General features: G+C 40.4%; 1 protein-coding gene across 3 annotated transcripts in view, besides 1 other annotated feature; it reads right to left on the bottom strand.

The window, feature by feature from the left end:
- LOC107984449 (uncharacterized) overlaps window positions 1-23,741 on the bottom strand; it is a 97,530-nt gene that overhangs the window by 36,631 nt on the left and 37,158 nt on the right. For all 3 annotated transcript variants that reach the window (XR_007063517.1, XM_047429960.1, XM_024449289.2), the window contains exon 2: window positions 1,722-1,846. The gene's annotated coding sequence lies outside the window, so the exon portion shown is untranslated. The remainder of the gene's footprint in view (window positions 1-1,721; window positions 1,847-23,741) is intronic.
- Window positions 21,032-21,575: an enhancer, noted in NCBI's record as "NANOG-H3K27ac-H3K4me1 hESC enhancer chr12:127584370-127584913 (GRCh37/hg19 assembly coordinates)". NCBI's record gives its function as "activates a minimal SCP1, AML or CMV promoter by ChIP-STARR-seq in naive H9 embryonic stem cells {active_cell/tissue: H9 hESC(naive)}" and the evidence as "EXISTENCE:reporter gene assay evidence [ECO:0000049][PMID:30033119]".

Genomic DNA, 23,741 nt, shown 5'->3' with positions numbered 1-23,741 from the left:
CGAGTATGCTTAAGACAGGGAATCTATAAATTAATCAAGGTAAAAGCAAATGCATCAAATAAATAGATAAAGGACATTAACAGGCAAGTCAAAATGGAAAAAGTAAGGCAGTAAATATTTGAGAAAAAATACTTAGTTTCATTAGTACTATAATGAATATAAAATAGGAAAGAAGAATAGTTATTGTTCTGTTGATCAAATTAGAAAGTGGCTTTTAATCCAACTCTCCTTGCTTCAGGTTGTGTTGAATTGGGCACTTTATGAGTAGTACTGTATATGAATATCACCTTTCTTAAGGACACATTGGGAATTAGAATTGAAAGGCTTGTAAGTGAATATGCCGTCTGACTCAGCAACTTCAGTGTTGGACACTTACTTGAAGCAAATTATCAGAGCCCCACAACAAGGATAGAGGCTACCAGGGAGACAGTGAGTTCCCATTTCAGAAAATGTGCAAGCATGAGGGGCGATTGATGAGGCTATTGATGATACCGGGAGAGGGTTGGGTTAGATTAATCAATAGTAAGGTCATTCCAAGTTTTAAATTTTATGACAACCACTCTGTTGTCAGAACAAAGTGTTTGGAGGACCATAAAGATATTGAAAGCCTTAAATTATTATTATAGTTAAAATAGCAGCACAATTGCTATGTGCCAGGCATTGTTTGAAGCACTTCACAGGTATTTGCTTATGTAAGTTTTATGGCATGATGAGAGGTGGGTATTATCATCCTTATTTTATAGATAAGCAAAGTAAGGTACAGAGAAATAAAGTCACATTCTTCAGGCCATGCAGGAAATAAATAGAAGAGCCAAGGTGTCAGCCCAGACCGTTGCTCTGCACACACACAATCTTAGGTCTTATGCCAGCCTACCTCCTATTTCTTAGTTCTGCTGTAATTCAAGGTCTGAATAATTGTTTTTTCTTCAAAATAGGATCTAGAAAGTCACCAGGTCTGTACGACACTTTACAGTGTATAAAACACTTTCACCCAGAGTTATCTTATTTGATGCTTTCAATAAGACAGTGGAGTTGTCCCAGGATAAGAATGTCTCCATACTAGGGGAAAATGAAGTTCCAAGGAGTTGTGGTTTGTCTTTCTTCAGTTCACAGTGAGGTAGAGGAGATGGTCTCTTGTTAAAACCTTCCATGTCACTCAGTGGCATACAGGGTGATCAATACATTTGCTTTATTCGCTTTGAGGCTGGTGCTTCCAACAAGGGAACTGTAGTGCATTCAAAGCCTGGACCTGGACCTACATGAGCTGTTTATCCATGGGGCTTTTAAAACTGCACCTGCAATACTTCTCAGCCACAAAGGGAAAGAAATATTTGTGTTTGCTTCTCATCCACACAAACCCTCCACTGTCCTTCTCCATTTCTGGAAAGTAAGGTTCTGCATGCTTGCTTCAGCTGTCTATTGTAATGGAACAAACCACCTCTAAACATAGTAACATGAAAGAACAACCATTTTAGTTCCTCATGATTCTTTGGATGAGAATTTGCTCAGGGGAGAGGGGATATGGATCATCTCTGAGCCACAATAATGGGAGCCGTGGCTGCAATCATACAAAGGACTGGGATGACTCAGCTGGTTTCATGTCTGGGGTCTCAATTTGCCCTGTCCACTGGGTTCCTCAGTTGTCCACCACATGGCCTCCCCACTGGGCTGGCTTAGGCTTCCTCCCTGCATGGCGGCCTCAGTGTGAGTTGACTTCTTACCTAGTAGCTGACTTCTCCTCCAGAGGAATCAGAAGCTGCAGGTATCAGAAAAGCTGGCTTGGAGCTGGTACAGTCTCCCTCCTATCATATTGTACAGTCATGGCACGTTCCAGGCCAGCCAGACTCTAGGAAAGAGAAAGACACTGTTTATAAGTGGAAGAAATGTCATGAATATCAAAGCCTTGAAAAATAGATTTTTCATTAAACTTTTATATGTGCATGTAACAGACATTTAAAAAAACTGCAAAATGTAAACAGCTCAAATTATTTTTTCTCTCTTATTCCATTACTTTATGTCCTTCTAAATAGCAACTATATCTACAAACCTACATATATTTAGATTTTTCCTCTTTCACACAAATTGGAACCTATCATATCTGCTCTTCCACACTTTCCTTTTCTTCTATTACCATAGTGTTTCAGAATGCACACACATGCAACTACTCATACTGATGCAGGTGACCCTTGACCAATGTAGGGGTCAGAAGCACCAACTCCCCACATGGCAGTAAATCCGCACATAATTTTCAACTCTTTCAAAACCTAACTACCAACAGCCTTCTGTTGACCAAAAGCCTTACTGATAACATCAACAGTTGATTAACACATAAATAGACTGGTATCTATGTATATTTTATGCATTCATGACGTACCTAACTTTTTCTTATTTTGTTTTGCTATTTATTGGTGACGTGGTTTCTGAGTTTTTCCAGATTGCTGAAAATCTCCAGATCATTTTGTAATATGTTTATGGAAAAAAACTCACTTGTAAGTGGACCTGCACAGTGCATAGCTGTGTGTTGTTTTAAGGTCACCTGTCTATGTAAATATAATTTTATAACATACAAATACACATACATATATAAATGTATGTACCCATAAATACACACATATATAAATATATCTGCTTATGTAAACACATTGTTAGGACACACAAAAAAAGGAAACAATTGTTTGGGCGAGGAACTAGGGAGCCGAATGACAGGAATGGTAGAACAATGTTCATTGTAAATCCTTTTCAACATTTTAACTTTGAGCCTTGTGATATATTAATACATATATTTTCATATTTATCAGCATTTTAAGTATAAAATATAGCTCAGAAACATTTTCTGGTAAGCTTTTGGAAGTGGCTTTTTAACTGCTGAAAAATATGTCATTTAATGGGCACACCATTGTTGACCTAACCGTGTCCTCACATCCTTAGCAGCAACATTAAAATTTTTTTATGACCGAATGTGTCTTATGGACCAACTACTAAGTCACTAAATATAATTTAGAGGAAGAAATCTATTTGTATACATTATTGATATAAGTATGTATTTGTTTGTGTATGAATAATGTAGCTCCTGGCCAACATTATCAAACATTTCTAACGTCAAATCAGTGTTTATGGACCTGTCTGGTGATACAGTGTAATGGCAATGACAGAAGAGCAGGATCATTTTTCAATATAATCCCAGGTCTCTTTGAAAATTGAAAACACTTTTTCAATTAAAGAGTTGTCAGCAGGCCTTGTGGCTTGGCTGGAATGAAAGTGCTCTGTTGTAAATTTATTTTAAACTCCTGCTGAAAGCATATGAACTGAGATAATTAAATAAAATAGGCTAACAGGAAACTGTAATCCCAAACAAGGCAGTGGGATGCAGGCACAAGACCACCTGATGTGCCTGAGGCTCCCCTCTCTATTTAGGCACAGACAGGTGGAAGAGAATTAGAATTCAGCACCCAGAAAAGAACCCTTGGGAAGTGCTTTATCTTGTTTTGTTTCTTCTGTTGTCCAGTAAGTAGATATCTGCTGTTTATGGCTTCCTTTCCTTTCCTCTTCTGATGATACCACCATAATGTTCTACTAAGAATGTCTTTCCTCCTCTAAGCAGTGTCTGTAAATAGTGGGTGATTCTTCCCCACCTCCCTGCTTTAGGAGTGAGCCTGTGACAGACCTGACCAGTCAGTAAATTCTCTCCTGCTAAGACCAATTAGGTCAGAGATGGGAACATGCCCTAAGTTTACCCAATGAGGCTCAGCAGGAGCCTTCTATTGGGATTGTTGGGAAGAATGTGGCACCTCTCTATTGGGGTGATGGAGCTGTGTCAGTGTAGATGTGGAGCTCCTAAACATCACCAATGGAGAGGGTTTGCTTGAGAATGAAGCCCATACAAGGAAAGACACACTGAGAGAGGAGACAAGCTCACTGATAATCTAATCGAGGAACCAAGGGGTGCACTAACCCTGGTCTTCCCAGTGACAACTGATTCATTCTGATTAATTCATTAATCAACTGTGAGCTGATTAATAGTTGATTAATTACCACTTTTTGCTGAAGGCATTCGAGTGGCGTTCCTGCTATTTTTAACAAGAATCCTTTTGGATTCAGTACACACAACTGTGAGCCCTCATCTCCTCTGTGTACCCCTAGGTACAGAACAGAGGGAAAGGAGGCAGTGGGGCTGAGCCCCATCCCTGTGTGTACTCTTTTTGCCTTACTGCAGATAGCACTGCCTCCTTCTGGTCTGTGGCTTTTGTCTCTGGTAGACAGAATCTTTGGTCCCCAACAGTATCTACGTCCTAATCCATGGGACCTGTCTCCTGGCACAAGAGACTTTGCAGGTGTGCTGGAGGTAAGGATTTCGAGATGGGGAAATTATTATGGATTATCCAAGCAAGTACTAAATATAATCAAAAGAAGGAGACGGGAGTATGAGAACAAGACAAATATGTGACAGTGGGTGCAGAGGTGAAAGGAAGGGATAGGGAGAAAGAGGAAGAGAGGGAGACATTTGACTCTTTTGGCCTTGAAGATGGAGGACTCTACTCCGAGCCAAGGAGTGCAGGCAGCCTCTAGAAGTCGGAAGAGGCAGGAAAAGGATTTCTCTCCTAGAGCCCTGGTGGGGATGCTGTCTTGCTGACACCTTCATTTTGAGAATTCTGACCTCCAGCATGATAGAGCAATAAATGTGTTTTAAGCCACTGTGGTTGTGGTCATTTGTATAGCAGTGATAAGAAACTAATATCATCTCCTAATCATTCTTTCTGGGCCATCTGTGTCTCCCTTTAAATTACTCTCCTCTCTGCCACAAAATCCTTTCTAAGACAGAGCTCAGATCATGTCACACCCAGCTCAAGGTTCCCCCAATGCATATGGAATAAGATTGGACCTACTGGCGTGGCATTTCATGATCTTCACCATCAGTTCCAACTCAGCTTCCCCCTCTTGCCTTCCTTCAGTCTCTCCCATATACTGTGTCTCTGAAAGCTGCAGCATCTCACTATTTCCTGAGCAACCCTCATCATTGTTTCCATGATTGTTTCCTCCAGTCTGTGCATCTATTCTCTCTCCTTGCATCTCCAAATCTGTGTCTCTTTCAGAGCCTGACTTGCATGGCACTGCATGCATGAATCTTTTCCCAATATTCCTCTCTAGTGAAAAAAATGTTTTCCAATAATTTTGTGTCTCTCTTGCCATTCTTTTTGACTTTTATCTTCTATTGCTGTAATGTATATATGTCACCTTTCTTTCCTGTTACATGGGAGCAGGGTCTTTTTTATTATTTCTCAGAATGCCTAGCAAATACTGTGCTAAATATGTGTTTCTGGAATCTGTTTGTTCATCAGAGTTTTGTAAGGCATTGAAATATAGGTCAAATGCCCCCATGAGCCAGGAAGGTGACACACAACAATGAGTGAAGTGAGCTTGTGTGAGACAATACTGAGTGGCGACTACTGGTTAACTGGAAAGCCAGGGTCCCTTTCCAAGAGGAGCAGCTGCTCCTCTGCTCTATTAGAGACACATGACACTTTTGGTACATTTTCTAACTGTTCAGTGAAAGCCTAGCATCCATAATTCTAAGTAAAATGTTCTCCTGGCTGAGCAGCCTAGCTGGTGGAATGCTCTGTGTGACTTATTCCCCTGTGGAGATCCACGGATGCGTGGATTCATTAATAAATGGGAGCTTGGCTGGCCTTTTAAAACTACATCTCTCAGTTTGGACAGCACAGCCCTTCCAGGTGGCACCTTGAGATTTGTATTTGCAGGCAACTTGGAATGACTCATCTTGAAATGACCTCAGATGTCATTTATCACAGCCAGAAGCTTAAATATATACCTAATTGCACTGATGGTGATTATGATTCCTGGATAAAATATTTGGATGTCCTTAAAAACAAAAAACAAAATAAAAAACAAACGCTTTTTTTTTTTTACTGTTCTTTATTTGGGACACAATTTTGGAAAAAGCATGGAAGGTTCCTGTAGATGAGAGGGGCAATGTGGGTGGGCGAATTTGCAGGCTCAAAACCCATTCTTCTGTCATCAGAATATTATCAGAACTTGACCATCATCCAAGTACAGAAACTACCAGGAGAAGATCACAGGGATCAACTCACGATTATCCACCACCTATAAAATTCAAGACACTCTGTTTTCATATATTTGCTCTTATTTAATGGGTGTGCAAAGGAGCCCATTATTTTCTGTCAGTTTGAAATTGGGCTCGTGCAGACCTTCAGTTCTGATTTTAACAGGATGATCTTTGTGGAAGAAAGGAGTCTAAATGACACTGAGCCAAGCCGTGGGTCAATTGTGTGTGTGTGTCTCCACGCATTCACACACTGGCAGAAAGAAAGAAGTAGAAAATAGAAGCCTACAATGATAAACATTGTTTTCTCCACTGGTGAAACTCTATATCCACTTTTAATCTCACTCTGTTTAACTAAACAATGTTAATATTTTAAAATTTTATTTGGGAGCAATTCTGTGAACCAAAATCTAGATAAAAATGCAGAATGTCCCAAATCAAAAGAACTAGAATGTACCATAGAAGTGGAAACTGGTTTGAGTTAGTGAGACATTGTTCTTTTCTTTTAACTAAAATGGTTGGAAGGGAAAATCGTGCAGTAGATGAAGGTGTAGTCTTCCAAATGAGACAATCCTGGTTTTGCTTTTGACCTTGAATAAGTAGTTGGTATATTTTAGCTTCCATTTCTTTATCTATAAAATGGGATAACAATACTAATACATAAAGTATAGGGTGATTCTGAAGATTAAGTGACATAAAGTTTTCAAAATAGGTGCTCAAAATGTAGGTATTATCTTAAGACATATTGCAATATTACCATAATGCATTGTGGAACAAAGTGAAAACAAGACATATTTTGGAAAAACATTGCTTTGTTTCTTTCTGTATGCAAAAACAATCATAAATCACTCACTGATTTATTTTGAGTTAAAGTAACTTTGATTTGGACATGTGAATGATGCAAGCTATGCAGACAAATGGAGCAAAAACTCAAGAAAGTATGTGGATTGTTTTTTCTTGCTTTCTTTTTATTTTCTTTGTTTCCTAATCTTTGCCTCACTTGTTCTTAGAGTGAGAGCTGAGTTGTCAAAAGAAAGACAACAAAATTTCTAGAAGTCTAAATGTCTCCAGGCATTGTTCTGTAATAACAGCCATTGCTAAAAGTGGAGGTCTCCTGCAGTAGCAATGTGGGCAGGTCTCATCAGAGAAGCCTTGCTAGGGTTTCAAACACAAAGCAGCCCTGCTGCCAGGCGAAACCCCAGGCTGAGAGCAAGAGCAGAAGCCAGGTCTCGGCAGCATTGTTTTGTTTTAGTTGTTGGTCTTTTTAATTTTTTTTCTTTTTTACCTTTCTAATTGGGAAAATACTTTGGATTAATAAAAATATTCAAAAAGAAATCATGTACAAAAATCCTAACTGTACACTTTTGCCCAGATTAATATTTTGCTTGGTTTGATTCCTATGTCTCCTTCCTGTCCTCTTCCTTCCCTCCCTTTCCCCCAGTTTCCCTGTAAGGACAGTATTCATTTGAAATGCAATTAGGTTCATTTGTTTTAGCCTGCTTGAAATGTTGTTTTTCCCTTCATCATTCCTATAGATTTAATTTTACTTTTGAATACATATAACATTAACTTTAACTTTTGAAGATGTATGATGTTCCTTCTACCTCCTTCTCCCCACTTCTCATAGTTAATCAGCTCGTTTTCTGGGTTATTCTTTCTCGTGATGGTTAATTTTTTGCGTCAACTTGACTGCGCTAAGGGATTGCCAGATAGCTGGTAAAACGTTATGCTGGGTACATGTGTGAAGATATTTCCAGAAGAAATTTGCATTTGAATAGCAGACTAAGAAAAGTTGCCCTCATCAATGGGGGTGATACTACACAATCCACTGAGGGCACAGATAGAACAAAAAGGTGGAGAAGGCATGAATTCAGTCTTCTTGAGTTGGAAGATCTTTATTCTATTCTTGGACATTGGAACTCCTAGTATTGGCCCTTCGGACTCAGACCAGAGTCTCTCATCAGCGGATATGTGTCGCACCTGCACCCCAGCCTCCTTCTGCCTCCCAGCCCTTTGGCTTAGATTGAAAGTTACACTATCTTCTCCCCTAGTTCCCAGGCCTTCAGCCTCACTCAGACTTAACTACCCCTCTGGCTTCCCTGGTTCTCCAGCTTTCAGACGCATATTATGGGACTTAACCTCCAAAACTGCATGAGCCAATTCCCATAATAAATCTCCTCTTAAATATCCAGATATAGGCTGGGCGCCGTGGCTTACACCTGTAATCCCAGCATTTCGGGAGGCCAAGGCGGGTGGATCACCTGAGGTCTGGAGTTCGAGACCAGCCTGACCAACATGGAGAAACCCCATCTCTACTAAAATACAAAATTAGCCTGGTGTGGTGGCGCATACCTGTAATCCCAGCTACTTGGGAGGCTGAGGCAGGAGAATCACTTGAACCCAGGAGGTGGAGGTGGAGGTGGAGGTGGAGATGGAGGTGAGCCAAGATCATGCCATTGCACTCCATCTTGGACAACAAGAGTGTAACTCCGTCTCAAAAAAAATATATATATATACATATATCCAGGTATGTTCTGTTGATTCTGCTTCTCTGGAGAGCCCTAATACATTTCTGTAATTATTTCAGTAAATATATGCAGATATATGCGTATTCTCCTATTTTTTTCTTTTATCTTACATAAAATGTAGCATGCTACATATGTTCTTTTTATTATTTTTTAAATGTGGTACAATGCATAACAAAAGGTATCATTTTAATTATTTTTAAGTATACAGTTCTGTGGCATTAACTACATTCACATTGTTTGCAACCATCGCCACCATCCATTTTCAGAACCTTTTCATCATTCCAAATTGAAACGCTGTACTCATTAAACAATAGCGCCCCATCCCTCCCTTCTCCCCAGCCCCTGACAAACACCATTCTATGTTCTGTCTCCAAGAATTTGCTTATTCTAGGTACCTCATATGCGCGTAATCATACAATATGTGTCCTTTTGTGTCTGGCTTATGTCAATTACCATAATGTCCTTAAGCTACCGCCATGTTGCGGCATCTGTCATAATGCTGTTTCCTTTTAAAGCTGAATAATTTATAACCTCTTTTGCACTTACCTTTTAAATTTTTTTAAAATAACATCTCCTGGAGAGCATTCTATATCAGTTCATTAAAAAATAAAAAGTCTGCATGTTTTTTACAGCCGCAGAATACCCAACTGCAGTAGATAGCCCAGTTTATTCAACTGCTCTCCCATACTTGAATATTTAGGCAGTTTCTAATATCTTGCAATCACAAATCATGCTGCAATGCATAATCTGTGCAGATGTATTTTTTGTACGATTAGATGCATGTCTTTAGGATGAATTCCTAGAAGTGGCATTTCTAGGCCAAAACATAAATTCATACGTAGTTCTACTAGATATTGCCAATCACTCTTTCTCTGGAGTTAAGTAGTTTACATTCTTGATACCAGTGTTGGAGAGTTTTTTTTTTTTTTTTCCCTCCTGACAGCCTTGTCAAAAGAGTCTATTGTCAAGCTTTTGGCTTTTTGTCAATCTGATGGGTAGACTATATCTCAGAATAATTTTTATTTTAATTTTTCCTAGTATGTGTGAAGTTAAACACTTTACATATATTTAAGAGATATTTTTATAACTTTTTGAGTTGTCCAGTCATCATTTTTGCGAAATTTTCTGTAGCATTTTACATTTTTTTCTCATTATTTAAGATGTCTTTATGATTCTGGAGTTTGTAATATATATCATCAATATTTTTTCCTGTTTATTATTTGTCTTTTTATGTTCCTCATAATGGATTATTTTTGCCATGAAAGTAAAATATATATATATAGAGAGAGAGTCAAGTTTTTAATTTTTCAGTTACATGTGGAACTTGGTCATAGTTGAAAAAATTTTACCTAGACCCAGATGATATAGGAATTCACCCTTTTTTTCTTTCCATTTCAGTCTAATCCATTTGGAGGATCATCTAGTGCATGGTGTAAGGAATGCATAAAATTATAACTCTTTGAACAAATAACTATAATTTATTCCAACACCATTTATTAAAAAGTCTCTATTTTGCCCCCTTGAATTGAATACTGTGGTAACCATATACTAGATGTTTATATGCAGTTATGGCTATTTTGAGACTCCCTGTCCTGTCCCATTGATCAGGTTGTTTCTGCACCAGATCCTCACTGCCCCCTTTGATTTAGTACCTGGCATGACTAGTTCCCTTCCAGACTTGCATTTCGGACTTTCCTGGTTATTCTGGTTTATTTCTTTTGCTATATAAATTTTAATATCAGCTTGTATAGCTCCAAGAAAATGTTCATTACAATTTTTATTGAGGTGGCATTAAAGTTATACATTAAGTCAGAGAGAATTGAAATATCAGTGATGTAAAGATGCCCTATCTAGAACAAGGAAGAACATAGCTATTCAAACCTCCTCTTATCTTCAGGAGAGTTTTATACTTTTCTGCTTGTTGGCTTCAAACATTTCTGGTGTATTTATCCTTAAATGTATTGTTTGTTTCTTGTTGCCGTAATAAATGAGATCCATGGATTCATTTTATCTTCTAACTGGTGAATATTTGTGTCTACAAATGCTATTGATTTTTGTATGTTAATGTTGTACATTGCTGTCTTGCTGAAATCCTGTAGTGTTTTTGTTAGTTTTATCATTGATCCTCTAGATGTATGATCAGGTTCTCTGCTTATGGAGTTTTATATCTTCATCTCAGTCTTTATGTCCAAATTGTTTCCTTTTGTCTAATTGCCCTAACTAGTTCCTCAAGAACATTGTGAAATAATAGTGAAATTTGTTCATATTCTTGCTTTGTTAATGATCTTGGTGGAGGTCCTTCTAGGGTCCCCTCATTATGTAAACTATTGGCTTTTAATATTAAAGTCTATGGCTGGGCGCGGTGGCTCATGTTTGTAATCACAGCACTTCGGTAGGCCAAGGCAGGTGGATCACGAGGTCAGGAGTTCAAGACCAGCCAGGCCAACATGGTGAAACCCTGTCTCTACTAAAAATAAAAAAATTAGTCAGGTGTGGTGGTGCGCACCTGTAGTCCCAGCTACTTGGGAGGCTGAGGCAGGAGAATCGCTTGAACCCGGGAGGCAGAGATTGCAGTGAGCCAAGATCACACCACTGCACTCCAGCCTGCATGACAGAGCGAGACTCTGTCTCAAAAAAAAAAAAAAATTAAAGTCTATACCCACCATTTTTATTTTCTCAACATTTTTTTGGTCAATGATGTGTGTTTTTCAGCATTTATTAAGATAACCATTCTCTCTTTCTTCTCTTCCCACACCCACCCTTCCATCAGCCTGTCCGTCAGTTTCACACCTTCCAGGGGTTGAATAAGAGAGAAAAGAGGGAGGGGACAGTAAAGATCCTAGAGGCATCACTAACTTCCCAAGCTGGCTTTACTCTCTGGCCTTAGTAGAGGCTGCTGCTTTCTCTTATGGGTACTTTCACATATTTCTCAATGGTTCCCTGCTGGACCCCAGTGATAATTCCTCTGGTTCAGGAATAATTTGCTTTTACTGCCCCCAATTCCTTGCCTGCTTCTATTCATCCTGCCAACCACCCCACATAGATGCTCGCTCACAAAGGCTCCAGCTTGGTTTTCCATGCTGCATGTGTAGGGTGACATCCATTCCAGTTTTCCCAAAACTGTCTCAGGCAATTTCTGGTGTCTTGGCATAATTATTAATATTCTCCTGTTCACTTTCAAAAGTCTCCCTATTTGGGCAATAAGAGACCTAGCTTCCTTAGAACTGGGCACACCTGGAGTACAGGTACACATGGCCTTCTTAGTTTTGGGGCACTCTGAGCACCCAGGTCTCTCCTCACAGAGCAGCCCCCAGACAGCTCTGCCACCAGACAGGTAACGAGGCCTCCTTAAGACCTGCATATCTCTGGGGCAGGGATCATATCACAATCCATGGTGTCTTCCTGTTTCGAGCTCTTCAAGGGTCCATCAAGCAGTAAATAAAGCAAGTAGCATCTCCCCTTTCTCCCCACTTTAGGAACTACAGAGCTCATCGAGGAGTTGTTTGTTTTTTTCTTTACAATCTCCTCCATTTTTTTACAATGGCATCTGGATATTGGCCCCTAGGTTGTGTCCATCTTCACAGCAGCCTGGGACACATTAGCATTTAAAAGCATACCAGAGCCAGATTCAAATTTTTACGCATCCAACTGTTTCCAACATAGCTGGTATTTAACCATTTAGAACTGTCCTGCTTTGTATACGTTGCAAACTGCATCCAACATCTGCTAGTCATAGATAACGACAAACTTAGGAGCTCTAAAGCCCACCAGATGGCTCTTGCCCTTTGGAGGTCTCTGACCCAGAGACTCCCTACTGGGCTGCAGGACAACATCACCTGGACAGGTGAGTCTCACCTAACCCAGGAGTTCCCTTCTCCTCCTTTTTATCTGGGTGATGGGCCACACACCACAGCCTCTGGACCAGCTGGTGCTGTGAGGGACCTCCTCTGTCTGTAGCTATGCTAGAGTTCAGTGGATAACCACGGGTGCGCTCCTGCCACCTGGTGGTAATATCTCCTCTCTTTTGAAACCCATGATTTCCCCATCTGCTCCCTCCTCCTGACATTTTTTATGTTTTTAAAAAGGTTGAAGAGCATTAGGCATTATTGAACAAATTTTCAGACATTCCTTTGAAAATCTGCATTTTGGTCTGTTACTTTATTTTGAAAATCCTGATGTTTGGCCAAAACTTCCTGCTCCACCTGTGTTGAGCATCTTCTATAGAGCGTATTGCAACATCACAAGTGCATTTATTAGCTGGAATGAATACTTAATCCGTGGGTGAGGTGTTACCCTGGGATCTCATTTAATACTAACAACAAGGAAATCTATGAACATGTACTTAGGCTCTAAAAGTGTTAAAGGAAAATAAGTAAATCCTGAAAGCAGGCTGAGACTCCTGGGGATTTTTACCATCACTCATTGACAGCTAAAGATTTGATAGTGATGTGAAAGGAAGAATGGTTTGATTTTACAAATGTCTGCTTGTAGCTTTTCTGTTTTCTTTGTTGTATCTTGGTAACTTTCATCCCTCATGAGGCATAGTTATTACAGGGAACATCTTATGTATGCAACAAAACCCTTTGCACCATATACTTTAGAGTTATTCTAAGAGGTTTTCAAGGGCAATTTTACTACACGCCGTATTCCACTTGTATTCTGAATTTAGAAAACTTGTGTAAGGTACAAGAGTAGGAAACATGCCAGAAAAGAGAAAAAAGAAAGTAAAATGTTACACCTGTGCCCAGAAGACTTAAGTGCTGAGAGGGGAGCTGGGCTGTCATTGAAGTTTTGTTCTAATCCCAGTCTAAAATGACTCATTGTGGTTGGCACACATGAAGATGCCAGTGTACTGAGAGGTAAGGAGCAAAGGGGAAGATGGTGATACAAGATGAAAGAACAAGTCAGCTCATGCCCCGAGGCTGGTGTTTGAATTTTGTTCTAATCAAAAGGAGAAGGCTCTGGAGGGTTTCAAGCGGAGGAGAGATGATGCTTGATTTATTTTTCTAAGTGATCCCTCCAGCAACTCCACGGAGAATGTATTGTGGGACTTAAATATCAGTGATCAGATGGATGTATTGAAAACCATGGAAGGGCCAGGGGTAGTGGCTCACACCTGTAATTCCAGCACTTTGGGATGCCGAGGCAGGTGGATCATGGGGTCAGGAGATCCAGACCATTCTGGCTAACATGGTGAAACCCTGTCTCTGCTAAACATACAAAAACTAGCTGGGCTTGGGGGCAGGTGCCTGTAGTCCCAGTTACTTGGGAGGCTGAGGCAGGAGAATGGCGTGAACCCAGAAGGCAGAGCTTGCAGTGAGCTAAGATCACGCCACTGCACTCCAGCCTGGGTGACAGAGCGAGACGCCATTTCAAAAACAAAACAAAAAAAAAAAAAAACATGGAAGACAGTTGAGAGATGTGGACTCAAGTCAAGTCAAGATAAGGGTTTCTTTCTAAGCTTTGCCTTCCGTTCCCCTTCTTAACCTGTGGACAGCCAGGCACTGCCGTGATGAATGTGAATTTTAAGCACTAATGTTCTAATGAAATACATACACTAATCAGCACTGTAGAATTGAAGATCAGGTCTTCAGGTAGAAGTAATTGAAGGCTGCATTCAACCCCCAAGCTATCGATCTGACTGCCAGGCAAACTACACTATCAGATTGAAAGAAATATCCAGAAGCTAATTGCTGGAGTCGTGAATCTCTACACAGTTATTAGACTCACAATGAAACCTCATGAGAAAAAATATATTAATGTGGCTCCAAAAAAGTTGCCTGGTTTCTATTTACTTTTCATTGTTCAAATAAAAGACTGTCTCTGAAATGAAGAAACTGAAATAAATGTGTTGACTTAGCCCTGGCTGCCCATCTACTACACTATCACACACACAAATGCAACATGAGCATAAAAGGATCCTGGAAACAGCATAGAAAAAACTCAGCAATGCCAAAGTCTCAGTAACATACCCCAATCCCCAGAGATACCTCAGCATGGGAAAAGACACAGAAAAGAAGGCAATGTTTATTGTTAAGCAAGTGCTGCAATTGAGTCCCAGAAATTCAGACATTTCTCCAAACTTCCTGGAAATTCCTGCTATAAACAGTTCTTTTAGGATAGCAGGCCTGCAATCTCAGTTTCCTACTCTCAGAACTTTTCCTTCCAGTATGTTCTTGTTTCATTTACTCATGCAGCAGCGTAGACAGAATTTTTCCCCCTTTGAACTTGAGCCCCTTGGACCATGCCTTTCAGAGAGCAAAGCCTGTATCTCCTATTCACAGCATGCTATTTTAATGTGTCTGGCATTTCACATTACGGCGTCTTGTTAATGTTTTTCTGGATGTGTTCTTCTAGGTGTGGCTGTCACCTGCTAAATAGTTTGAAAGCTATTAGCAGAAAGAAAGAATATGCAATTCTAACAGGTGCACAAGTGGTGAGCCTGGGGTTTAAATGTATTAGAGTTAGAATCTCATGCTGTTCGTGAAGCACATTTGCGCTTTCTCAGGCAATGTATATTGGTGGCTGGCTGGCAAATTGGAAGTTGGATAAGGGTATTTAGAACAAAACATGTGATAGTTAAGCTGTCTCTGAAATTCAACCTGTGAAAATATCCACTGGGGGCCATTAGAATTTCTAAATTGGGAAAATGTGGCAGTGTAATTGCATGGAAGCTTTGAATTAGGTGAATTCTGAGACGATCCCAAAGGTAAAAGTGCTGCTACAGTGATGATCAGGAGACTCAAAACAGTGTTTTCTCCCTAAGCAAAAATCCTGTTATTGGGACCGAGGGGTATATCAAAATATTAAAAAATTCATTTAGATATGTTAACATAGATATTAAAAAAAATTCATTTAGACATGTTAACATAGATATGAGTTGTATTTGCTTACTATGTAGATAGATAAGATTCTTTCCATAGGTTTGCTAAGATCACTCAGTAATAAAGAATTATCTGATTTTATAAAATGTATAGTTTTCATACAATATTATCTCATATTCTTCTTTAATTTAGTAGCATTTCAATTTCTTCAAAGACCTGAAATGCTAAGATTCTCCAACTCAGATTAAGAATATCTTGTTTCAGCCTGGTGTGGTGGCTCATGCTTGCAATCCCAGCACTCTGGGAGACTCAGGTGGGTGGATCGCTTGAGCTCAGGAGTTCAAGACTAGCCTGGATAACATGGCAAAACCTTGTCTCTACAAATAATACAAAAATTAGCTGGGCATGATGTTATGTGCCTGTAGTCTCCGCCACTCGGGAAGCTGAGGTGGGAGGATTGCTTGAGCCTGGGAAATCAAGGCTGCAGTGAGGCATGATCACAGCTCCTGCACTCCAGCCTGGGAGACCCTGTCTCAAAAAAATAAAGAAAGAAATAAAAAATCCCCATTTCATTGTGGATTTTCAGTAGAACCTTAAGAGTGAAATGGGCTAGGTGTGGTGGCTCACACCTGTAATCCCAGCATTTTGGGAGGCCGAGGCAGGCAGATCACCTGAGGTTGGGAGTTCGAGACCAGCCTGACCAACATGGAGAAACTCCATCTCTACTAAAAATACAAAATTAGCCGGGTGTGGTGGCGCGTGCCTGTAATCCCAGCTACTCGGGAGGCTGAGGCGGGAGAATCACTTGAACCCAGGAGGTGGAGGTTGCAGTGAGCCAAGATCGTGCCATTGCACTCCAGCCTGGGCAAAAAGAGCGAAACTCCATCTCAAAACAAATCAAAACAAAAATAGTGAAATGGTTTTCCTCACTCCCATTCCATCATCATCCTCCACTTTCCCTCCCCGCACTATAATTGTTTCCACCTTAAATAAGGAAAAAGACTTTCTAATATTAAGCTCCTTTCTCTGCAAAGAACCAACACTTCAGAGTGATGCACTATACACCCCCATCTCAATTTCTTGTCAAAATAATTCAATCACTGCTGCTGATTTTTTTTTCTATTTTGTTGATGATCCAAGGCCTAGAGGAATCAGGACCTGGCTCAAGGTCATTTTTATGGGTTGAATTGTCTCCCCAAAAAGACATGTTGAGGTCCTAACCTCTAGTATCTGTGACTATCACCTTATTTAGAAATAGGATGTTTACAGATGTCAAGTTAGGATGAGGTCATGAGGATGAGCCTTAATCCAATAAGACAGGTGTCCTTATAAAAAGGGGGAATTTGGATACAGAGACAGAGATAACACAGAGGGAAGACAATGTAAAGACACTGAGAGAAAACGGCCATATGCAGATGACAAAGGCAGGATGACAGCGATGAACCACAAGTGAAGGCTCCTGGAGCTACCCTAAAGTGGGAGAGGTGAAGAGGAACCCTCCCCAGGGGAACCCTCCCTAGAGGAACCCTCCCTAGAGGCTTTGATGGAAGCATGACGACTGCCTACACTTCAATTTTGCACTTCCAGACTCTAGAACATCTGTAGTTTAAGCCACCAAGTTTGTGACTCTTGGTTATGGCAGGTCTAGGGAACTAGTACGGGCATAAAATCAGTAAGTGGTCGAGAAGTAAATAACACGTGGATTCATATAACCCCAAAGCCTGAGTCTCATCTGCTGAACAACTCTGCCTTTTTGTTGAACATGCTCCCATCAAGACTTGCTATATGCATTCACTGTGATGGTTAGATGTGGGGCCTTTAAAACAAGCCAAAATGTGATGTCTGTACTCCAGTGTCTTATAGGCAGGTTAGAAAGTGAATAGTAAATCCAGAATACTATAAAAGTTGAATACTATAAAATACTATTTTTGAATACTATAAAAGTTATATCAATGCCTATATAGAATTTTTGCAAGTATACTTTAAAATTCCTTTGAAATTTTCAGCAACTGGAGATCCTAAGTACATGCAAAGGGAAATCTTTTTTTTTTTTTTTTTTTTTTTTTTTTGGCGGTGGGGAGTGGGGGACAGGGTCTCACTCTGTCGCCTAGACTGGAGTGCTCACTGCAACCTCTGCCTCCAAGGTTCAAAGGATTCTTATGCCTCAGCCTCTAGAGTAGCTGGGATTATCAGCGTGCACCACCACGCCAAGCTAATTTTTGTTTTCTTAGTAGAGACGGGGTTTTGCCATGTTGGCCAAGCTGGTCTCAAACTCCTGACCTTAAGTGGTCCACCCAGCTTGGCCTCCCAAAGTGCTAGGATCACAGGAGTGAGCCACCACACTTGGCCTGGAAATCATTCTAAATATAGCTTTTCCTTAAACCAAGAACAATTTAAAAGTCCTAACTAAGTTTATCAGTACATTATCAATTCTTATCTCTCAGTAGATTTGGAAGTCACTGAAGCATTGAGTTTGCTGTAATACACAGTGATTATAAATTAGTACTGGTTAATAACTTGAAATTTGGTTGTTTATAATTGTATTTCCAATAAAACAAGTTGTAAAGAACATACCTTGCATATTATTTTAGAATACAGTGTTTACATAGTTCCTTCAAGGTATTTTCACACAGCTGTTTGATGTAGTATCCCAATAGCCACCTTAAGTGCCTGTGATCTAATAGGTGCTTAAGAAGTATTTGCTCCGTGAATTAATTCTGCTTCATCATCTTTTAGGGTGATTAAAATAATAAGGTAATACTCATAGATTTACCAAAGTGATTACAATTTCAAGTCCTCTTTATTTTTTTGATTAGGTCCATGTTTTCATCTTGTATTATTTTTTATTCTATTGAATTATCATTTATTGTAGTGAAGTCTTCCAGTAATAAATTCCTTCAGCTTTTGGCTTTTGTAAATCTAAAAACATCCTTTTGTATTAAAAAAATAAGTATATATGAGTGCACACAGAATTCTAACTTGGCTACTATTTTCTTTCTTTCATGTGAAAATGGTGTCTTTCTGTCTTCTCATTTGCATTGCTTTTGACAAGAAATATATTGCAACTCTTAGAGTTCTTCCTCTCTATATAACATTTATTTTTACTTTGTTTTTAAGATTTTTTTCTTTGTAAACTGTTTTGGACAATTTGGTTATAATATTTCTTTGTGTATTTTGTATGGTTCTTGGGCTTGGGTTTTATTAAGCTTCTTAGATTTGTGTGTTTATCATTTCATTACATTATTCATTCAAATGTTTTTTGTACGTCCTTATTTGGGGAACTCCAGTTACACAATTATTAGGCTACTTCTCCTAAGCACAGTAAATCTCTGTTCTTTTTTGTTTTTGTTTTCTTCTCTCTCCCTGTCTCTCTCTGGTTCAGCATGGCTAGTTTTTTATTAATTTGTCATATTCACTAATATCTTCTTCTGTATTGTCTAATCTGTTGCTTACCATATCCAACATAATTGCTCATTTCACACAATCTATACAAATTTTTTTTTTTTGAGATGCAGTCTCACTCTGTCACCAGGCAGAGTGCAGTGGTGCGATCTCAGCTCACTGCAACCTCCGCCTCCCGGGTTCAAGCGATTCTCCTGCCTCAGCCTCTTGAGTAGCTGGGACTATAGGCGCCTGGCTAATTTTTCTATTTTTAGTAGAGATGGGGTTTCACCATATTGGCTAGAATGGTCTCGATCTCTTGACCTTGTGATCCTCCCGCCTCGGCCTCCCAAGTGCTGAGATTACAGGCATGACCCACTGCACCCAGCCTCATCTATACAATTTTAACTTGTATCCTTTATTTATTTATTTATTTTGAGATGGAGTCTTGCTGTGTCACCAGGCTGGAGTTCAGTGGCGGGATCTCAGCTCACTGCAACCTCCAGCTCCCGGGTTCAAGCGATTCCCCTGCCTCAGCCTCCCAAGTAGCTGGGACTACAGGCACATGCCACCATGTCTGGCTAATTTTTTGTATTTTAGTAGCGAAGGGGTTTCACCATGTTGGCCAAGATGGTCTCGATCTCCTGACCTCGTGATCCTCCCACCTCAGCCTCCCAAAGTGCTGGGAGTACAGGCGTGAGCCACTGCGCCCGGCCAACTTGTGTCCTTTTTATGTTTTGTCTCCCTGCCACATCTTAACACTTCTCTCCGCTTTCTGTACACACTGAATGACTGTTATAATGTCTTTTTCTTCTAATCGTAACACACGTGTCAGTTTTAGATGTTTCGATTGAGGTTTCTTCTCATCATAGGCATGCCTGGTAATTTTTGATTGGATGCAAGATATTTTGGAATGTATCCTTCTGGGGGATATACACATATATATGCTATATAAAATTATGTAATTTATATAGATATTGAGTTTTGTTGTGGAACACAATTAAGGTATTTGGAAATAATCCTTTTGGGTAAGGCTTTTAAGATTTATTAGACAGAAATAGAGCAGCATTAATTTAAAGCTAAGAGTTCATTGTAATTCAGTAGGTAGTGAAGACCTTTTAAGAGTATCCTACCTTATTTCTCATTGAATTATGAGGTCTCTGTGTTTAGGTGATGGGCCAACCATGCTAAGCTTGCATGTGGTATCATGGTGCTGTCCTCTCGAATTCTTCCACATAATGTTTCCCCTGGCCACAGTCAGTTTCTGCATCACTGTGCTGATTAACAGCCAGCTGAACAGCTGGAGGGGCCTCTGGAGATTTCTCTGGATCTCTCTCCTCTCCAGTTCCCAGTCAGATGGCTCCTCTCTGAGATATCCCCCATCCCCTTCTGTGGACTGAAAGGTTTCTCAAGGCAGTACATGTGGGGAAATTTGGGAGTTTACTTCATTATTTTCCCTTCTCTCATAAATCACTACTTTTTGCCTATATCTATGTATTTAAAACTGTTTTATATATTTGTCCAGTTTTTTTTCCTGAAGGAGGGTGAACCATTTCCTACTACTTCCTCCAGAGAAAGCTCCTGCCTATATTTTACTTGGAAAAAAAAATTAAGTTGCATCTCACTATAGAACACACACACAGACACACACACACACTCACATACACACATACATACTTTTTTTTCCTCATTTAGTTCCTAGTTAATAACTCCAGATGCATTCTTTCGGTTTGGTGTTTAAGCATGTTATTATGACCATTAATTGCACTTCGTATGTTACATAGCACCAGTTTGGAAAGATGAAAATTACATATTTTATCTGCCCTTTGAAAATTCTTTAACTAGTTGTGAAAGTCTGTTTTATATATTTAATACCTAAGATTAAAAGGACTACACATGCAAAACAAGTAAGGTGAAATAAAATATTTAAATGCATTCTTAAAATACCAGGGTGAAGGGGAGGAGCCAAGATGGCCGAATAGGAACAGCTCCGGTCTATAGCTCCCAACGTGAGCGATGCAGAAGACGGGTGATTTCTGCATTTCCATCTGAGGTACCGGGTTCATCTCACTAGGGAGTGCCAGACAGTGGGCGCAGGTCAGTGGGGTCGCGCACCGTGCTCGAGCCGAAGCAGGGCGAGGCATTGCCTCACTTGGGAAGCGCAAGGGGTCAGGGAGTTCCCTTTCTGAGTCAAAGAAAGGGGTGACGGATGGCACCTGGAAAATCGGGTCACTCCCACCCGAATACTGCGCTTTTCCGACGGGTTTAAAAAACGGCGCACCACGAGATTATATCCCGCACCTGGCTCGGAGGGTCCTACGCCCATGGAGTCTTGCTGATTGCTAGCACAGCAGTCTGAGATCAAACTGCAAGGCGGCAGCGAGGCTGGGGGAGGGGCGCCCACCATTGCCCAGGCTTGATTAGGTAAACAAAGCAGCCGGGAAGCTCGAACTGGGTGGAGCTTCCACAGCTCAAGGAGGCCTGCCTGCCTCTGTAGGCTCCACCTCTGGGGGCAGGGCACAGACAAACAAAAAGACAGCAGTAACCTCTGCAGACTTAAATGTCCCTGTCTGACAGCTTTGAAGAGAGCAGTGGTTCTCCCAGCACGCAGCTGGAGATCTGAGAACGGGCAGACTGCCTCCTCAAGTGGGTCCCTGACCCCTGACCCCCGAGCAGCCTAACTGGGAGGCACCCCCCAGCAGGGGCACACTGACACCTCACACAGCAGGGTATTCCAACAGACCTGCAGCTGAGGGTCCTGTCTGTTAGAAGGAAAACTAACAAACAGAAAGGACATCCACACCAAAAACCCATCTGTACATCACCATCATCAAAGACCAAAAGTAGATAAAACCACAAAGATGGGGAAAAAACAGAACAGAAAAACTGGAAACTCTAAAAAGCAGAGCGCCTCTCCTCCTCCAAAGGAACGCAGTTCCTCACCAGCAACGGAACAAAGCTGGATGGAGAATGACTTTGACGAGCTGAGAGAAGAAGGCTTCAGACGATCAAATTACTCTGAGCTACGGGAGGACATTCAAACCAAAGGCAAAGAAGTTGAAAACTTTGAAAAAAATTTAGAAGAATGTATAACTAGAATAACCAATACAGAGAAGTGCTTAAAGGAGCTGATGGAGCTGAAAACCAAGGCTCGAGAACTACGTGAAGAATGCAGAAGCCTTAGGAGCCGATGCGATCAACTGTAAGAAAGAGTATCAGCAATGGAAGATGAAATGAATGAAATGAAGCGAGAAGGGAAGTTTAGAGAAAAAAGAATAAAAAGAAATGAGCAAAGCCTCCAAGAAATATGGGACTATGTGAAAAGACCAAATCTACGTCTGATTGGTGTACCTGAAAGTGATGGGAAGAATGGAACCAAGTTGGAAAACACTCTGCAGGATATTATCCAGGAGAACTTCCCCAATCTAGCAAGGCAGGCCAACGTTCAGATTCAGGAAATACAGAGAACGCCACAAAGATACTCCTCGAGAAGAGCAACTCCAAGACACATAATTGTCAGATTCACCAAAGTTGAAATGAAGGAAAAAATGTTAAGGGCAGCCAGAGAGAAAGGTCGGGTTACCCTCAAAGGGAAGCCCATCAGACTAACAGTGGATTCCTCGGCAGAAACCCTACAAGCCAGAAGAGAGTGGGGGCCAATATTCAACATTCTTAAAGAAAAGAATTTTCAACCCAGAATTTCATATCCAGCCAAACTAAGCTTCATAAGTGAAGGAGAAATAAAATACTTTACAGACAAGCAAATGCTGAGAGATTTTGTCACCACCAGGCCTGCCTTACAAGAGCTCCTGAAGGAAGCACTAAACATGGAAAGGAACAACCAATACCAGCCGCTGCAAAATCATGCCAAAATGTAAAGACCATCGAGACTAGGAAGAAACTGCATCAACTAACGAGCAAAATAACGAGCTAACATCATAATGACAGGATCAAATTCACACATAACAATATTAACTTTAAATGTCAATGGACTAAATGCTCCAATTAAAAGACACAGACTGGCAAATTGGATAAAGAGTCAAGATCCATCAGTGTGCTGTATTCAGGAAACCCATCTCACGTGCAGAGACACACATAGGCTCAAAATAAAAGGATGGAGGAAGATCTACCAAGCAAATGGAAAACAAAAAAAGGCAGGGGTTGCAATCCTAGTCTCTGATAAAACGGACTTTAAACCAACAAAGATCAAAAGAGACAAAGAAGGCCATTACATAATGGTAAAGGGATCAATTCAACAAGAAGAGCTAACTATCCTAAATATATATGCACCCAATACAGGAGCACCAAGATTCATAAAGCAAGTCCTGAGTGACCTACAGAGAGACTTAGACTCCCACACATTAATAATGGGAGACTTTAACACCCCACTGTCAACATTAGACAGATCAACGAGACAGAAAGTCAACAAGGATACCCAGGAATTGAACTCAGCTCTGCACCAAGCAGACCTAATAGACATCTACAGAACTCTCCACCCCAAATCAACAGAATATACATTTTTTTCAGCACCACACCACACCTATTCCAAAATTGACCACATACTGGGAAGTAAAGCTCTCCTCAGCAAATGTAAAAGAACAGAAATTATAACAAACTATCTCTCAGACCACAGTGCAATCAAACTAGAACTCAGGATTAAGAATCTCACTCAAAACCGCTCAACTACATGAAAACTGAACAACCTGCTCCTGAATGACTACTGGGTACATAACGAAATGAAGGCAGAAATAAAGATGTTCTTTGAAACCAACAAGAACAAAGACACAACATACCAGAATCTCTGGGACGCATTCAAAGCAGTGTGTAGAGGGAAATTTATAGCACTAAATGCCCACAAGAGAAAGCAGGAAAGATCCAAAATTGACACCCTAACATCACAATTAAAAGAACTAGAAAAGCAAGAGCAAA

The sequence above is a fragment of the Homo sapiens genome, chromosome 12 (genome assembly GCF_000001405.40).
Source record: "Homo sapiens chromosome 12, GRCh38.p14 Primary Assembly".
In the NCBI taxonomy this organism is placed as follows: Eukaryota; Metazoa; Chordata; class Mammalia; order Primates; family Hominidae; genus Homo; species Homo sapiens.
The sequence above is the reverse complement of the archived record's forward strand: the minus strand, read 5'-3'. Positions and strand labels throughout refer to the sequence as shown.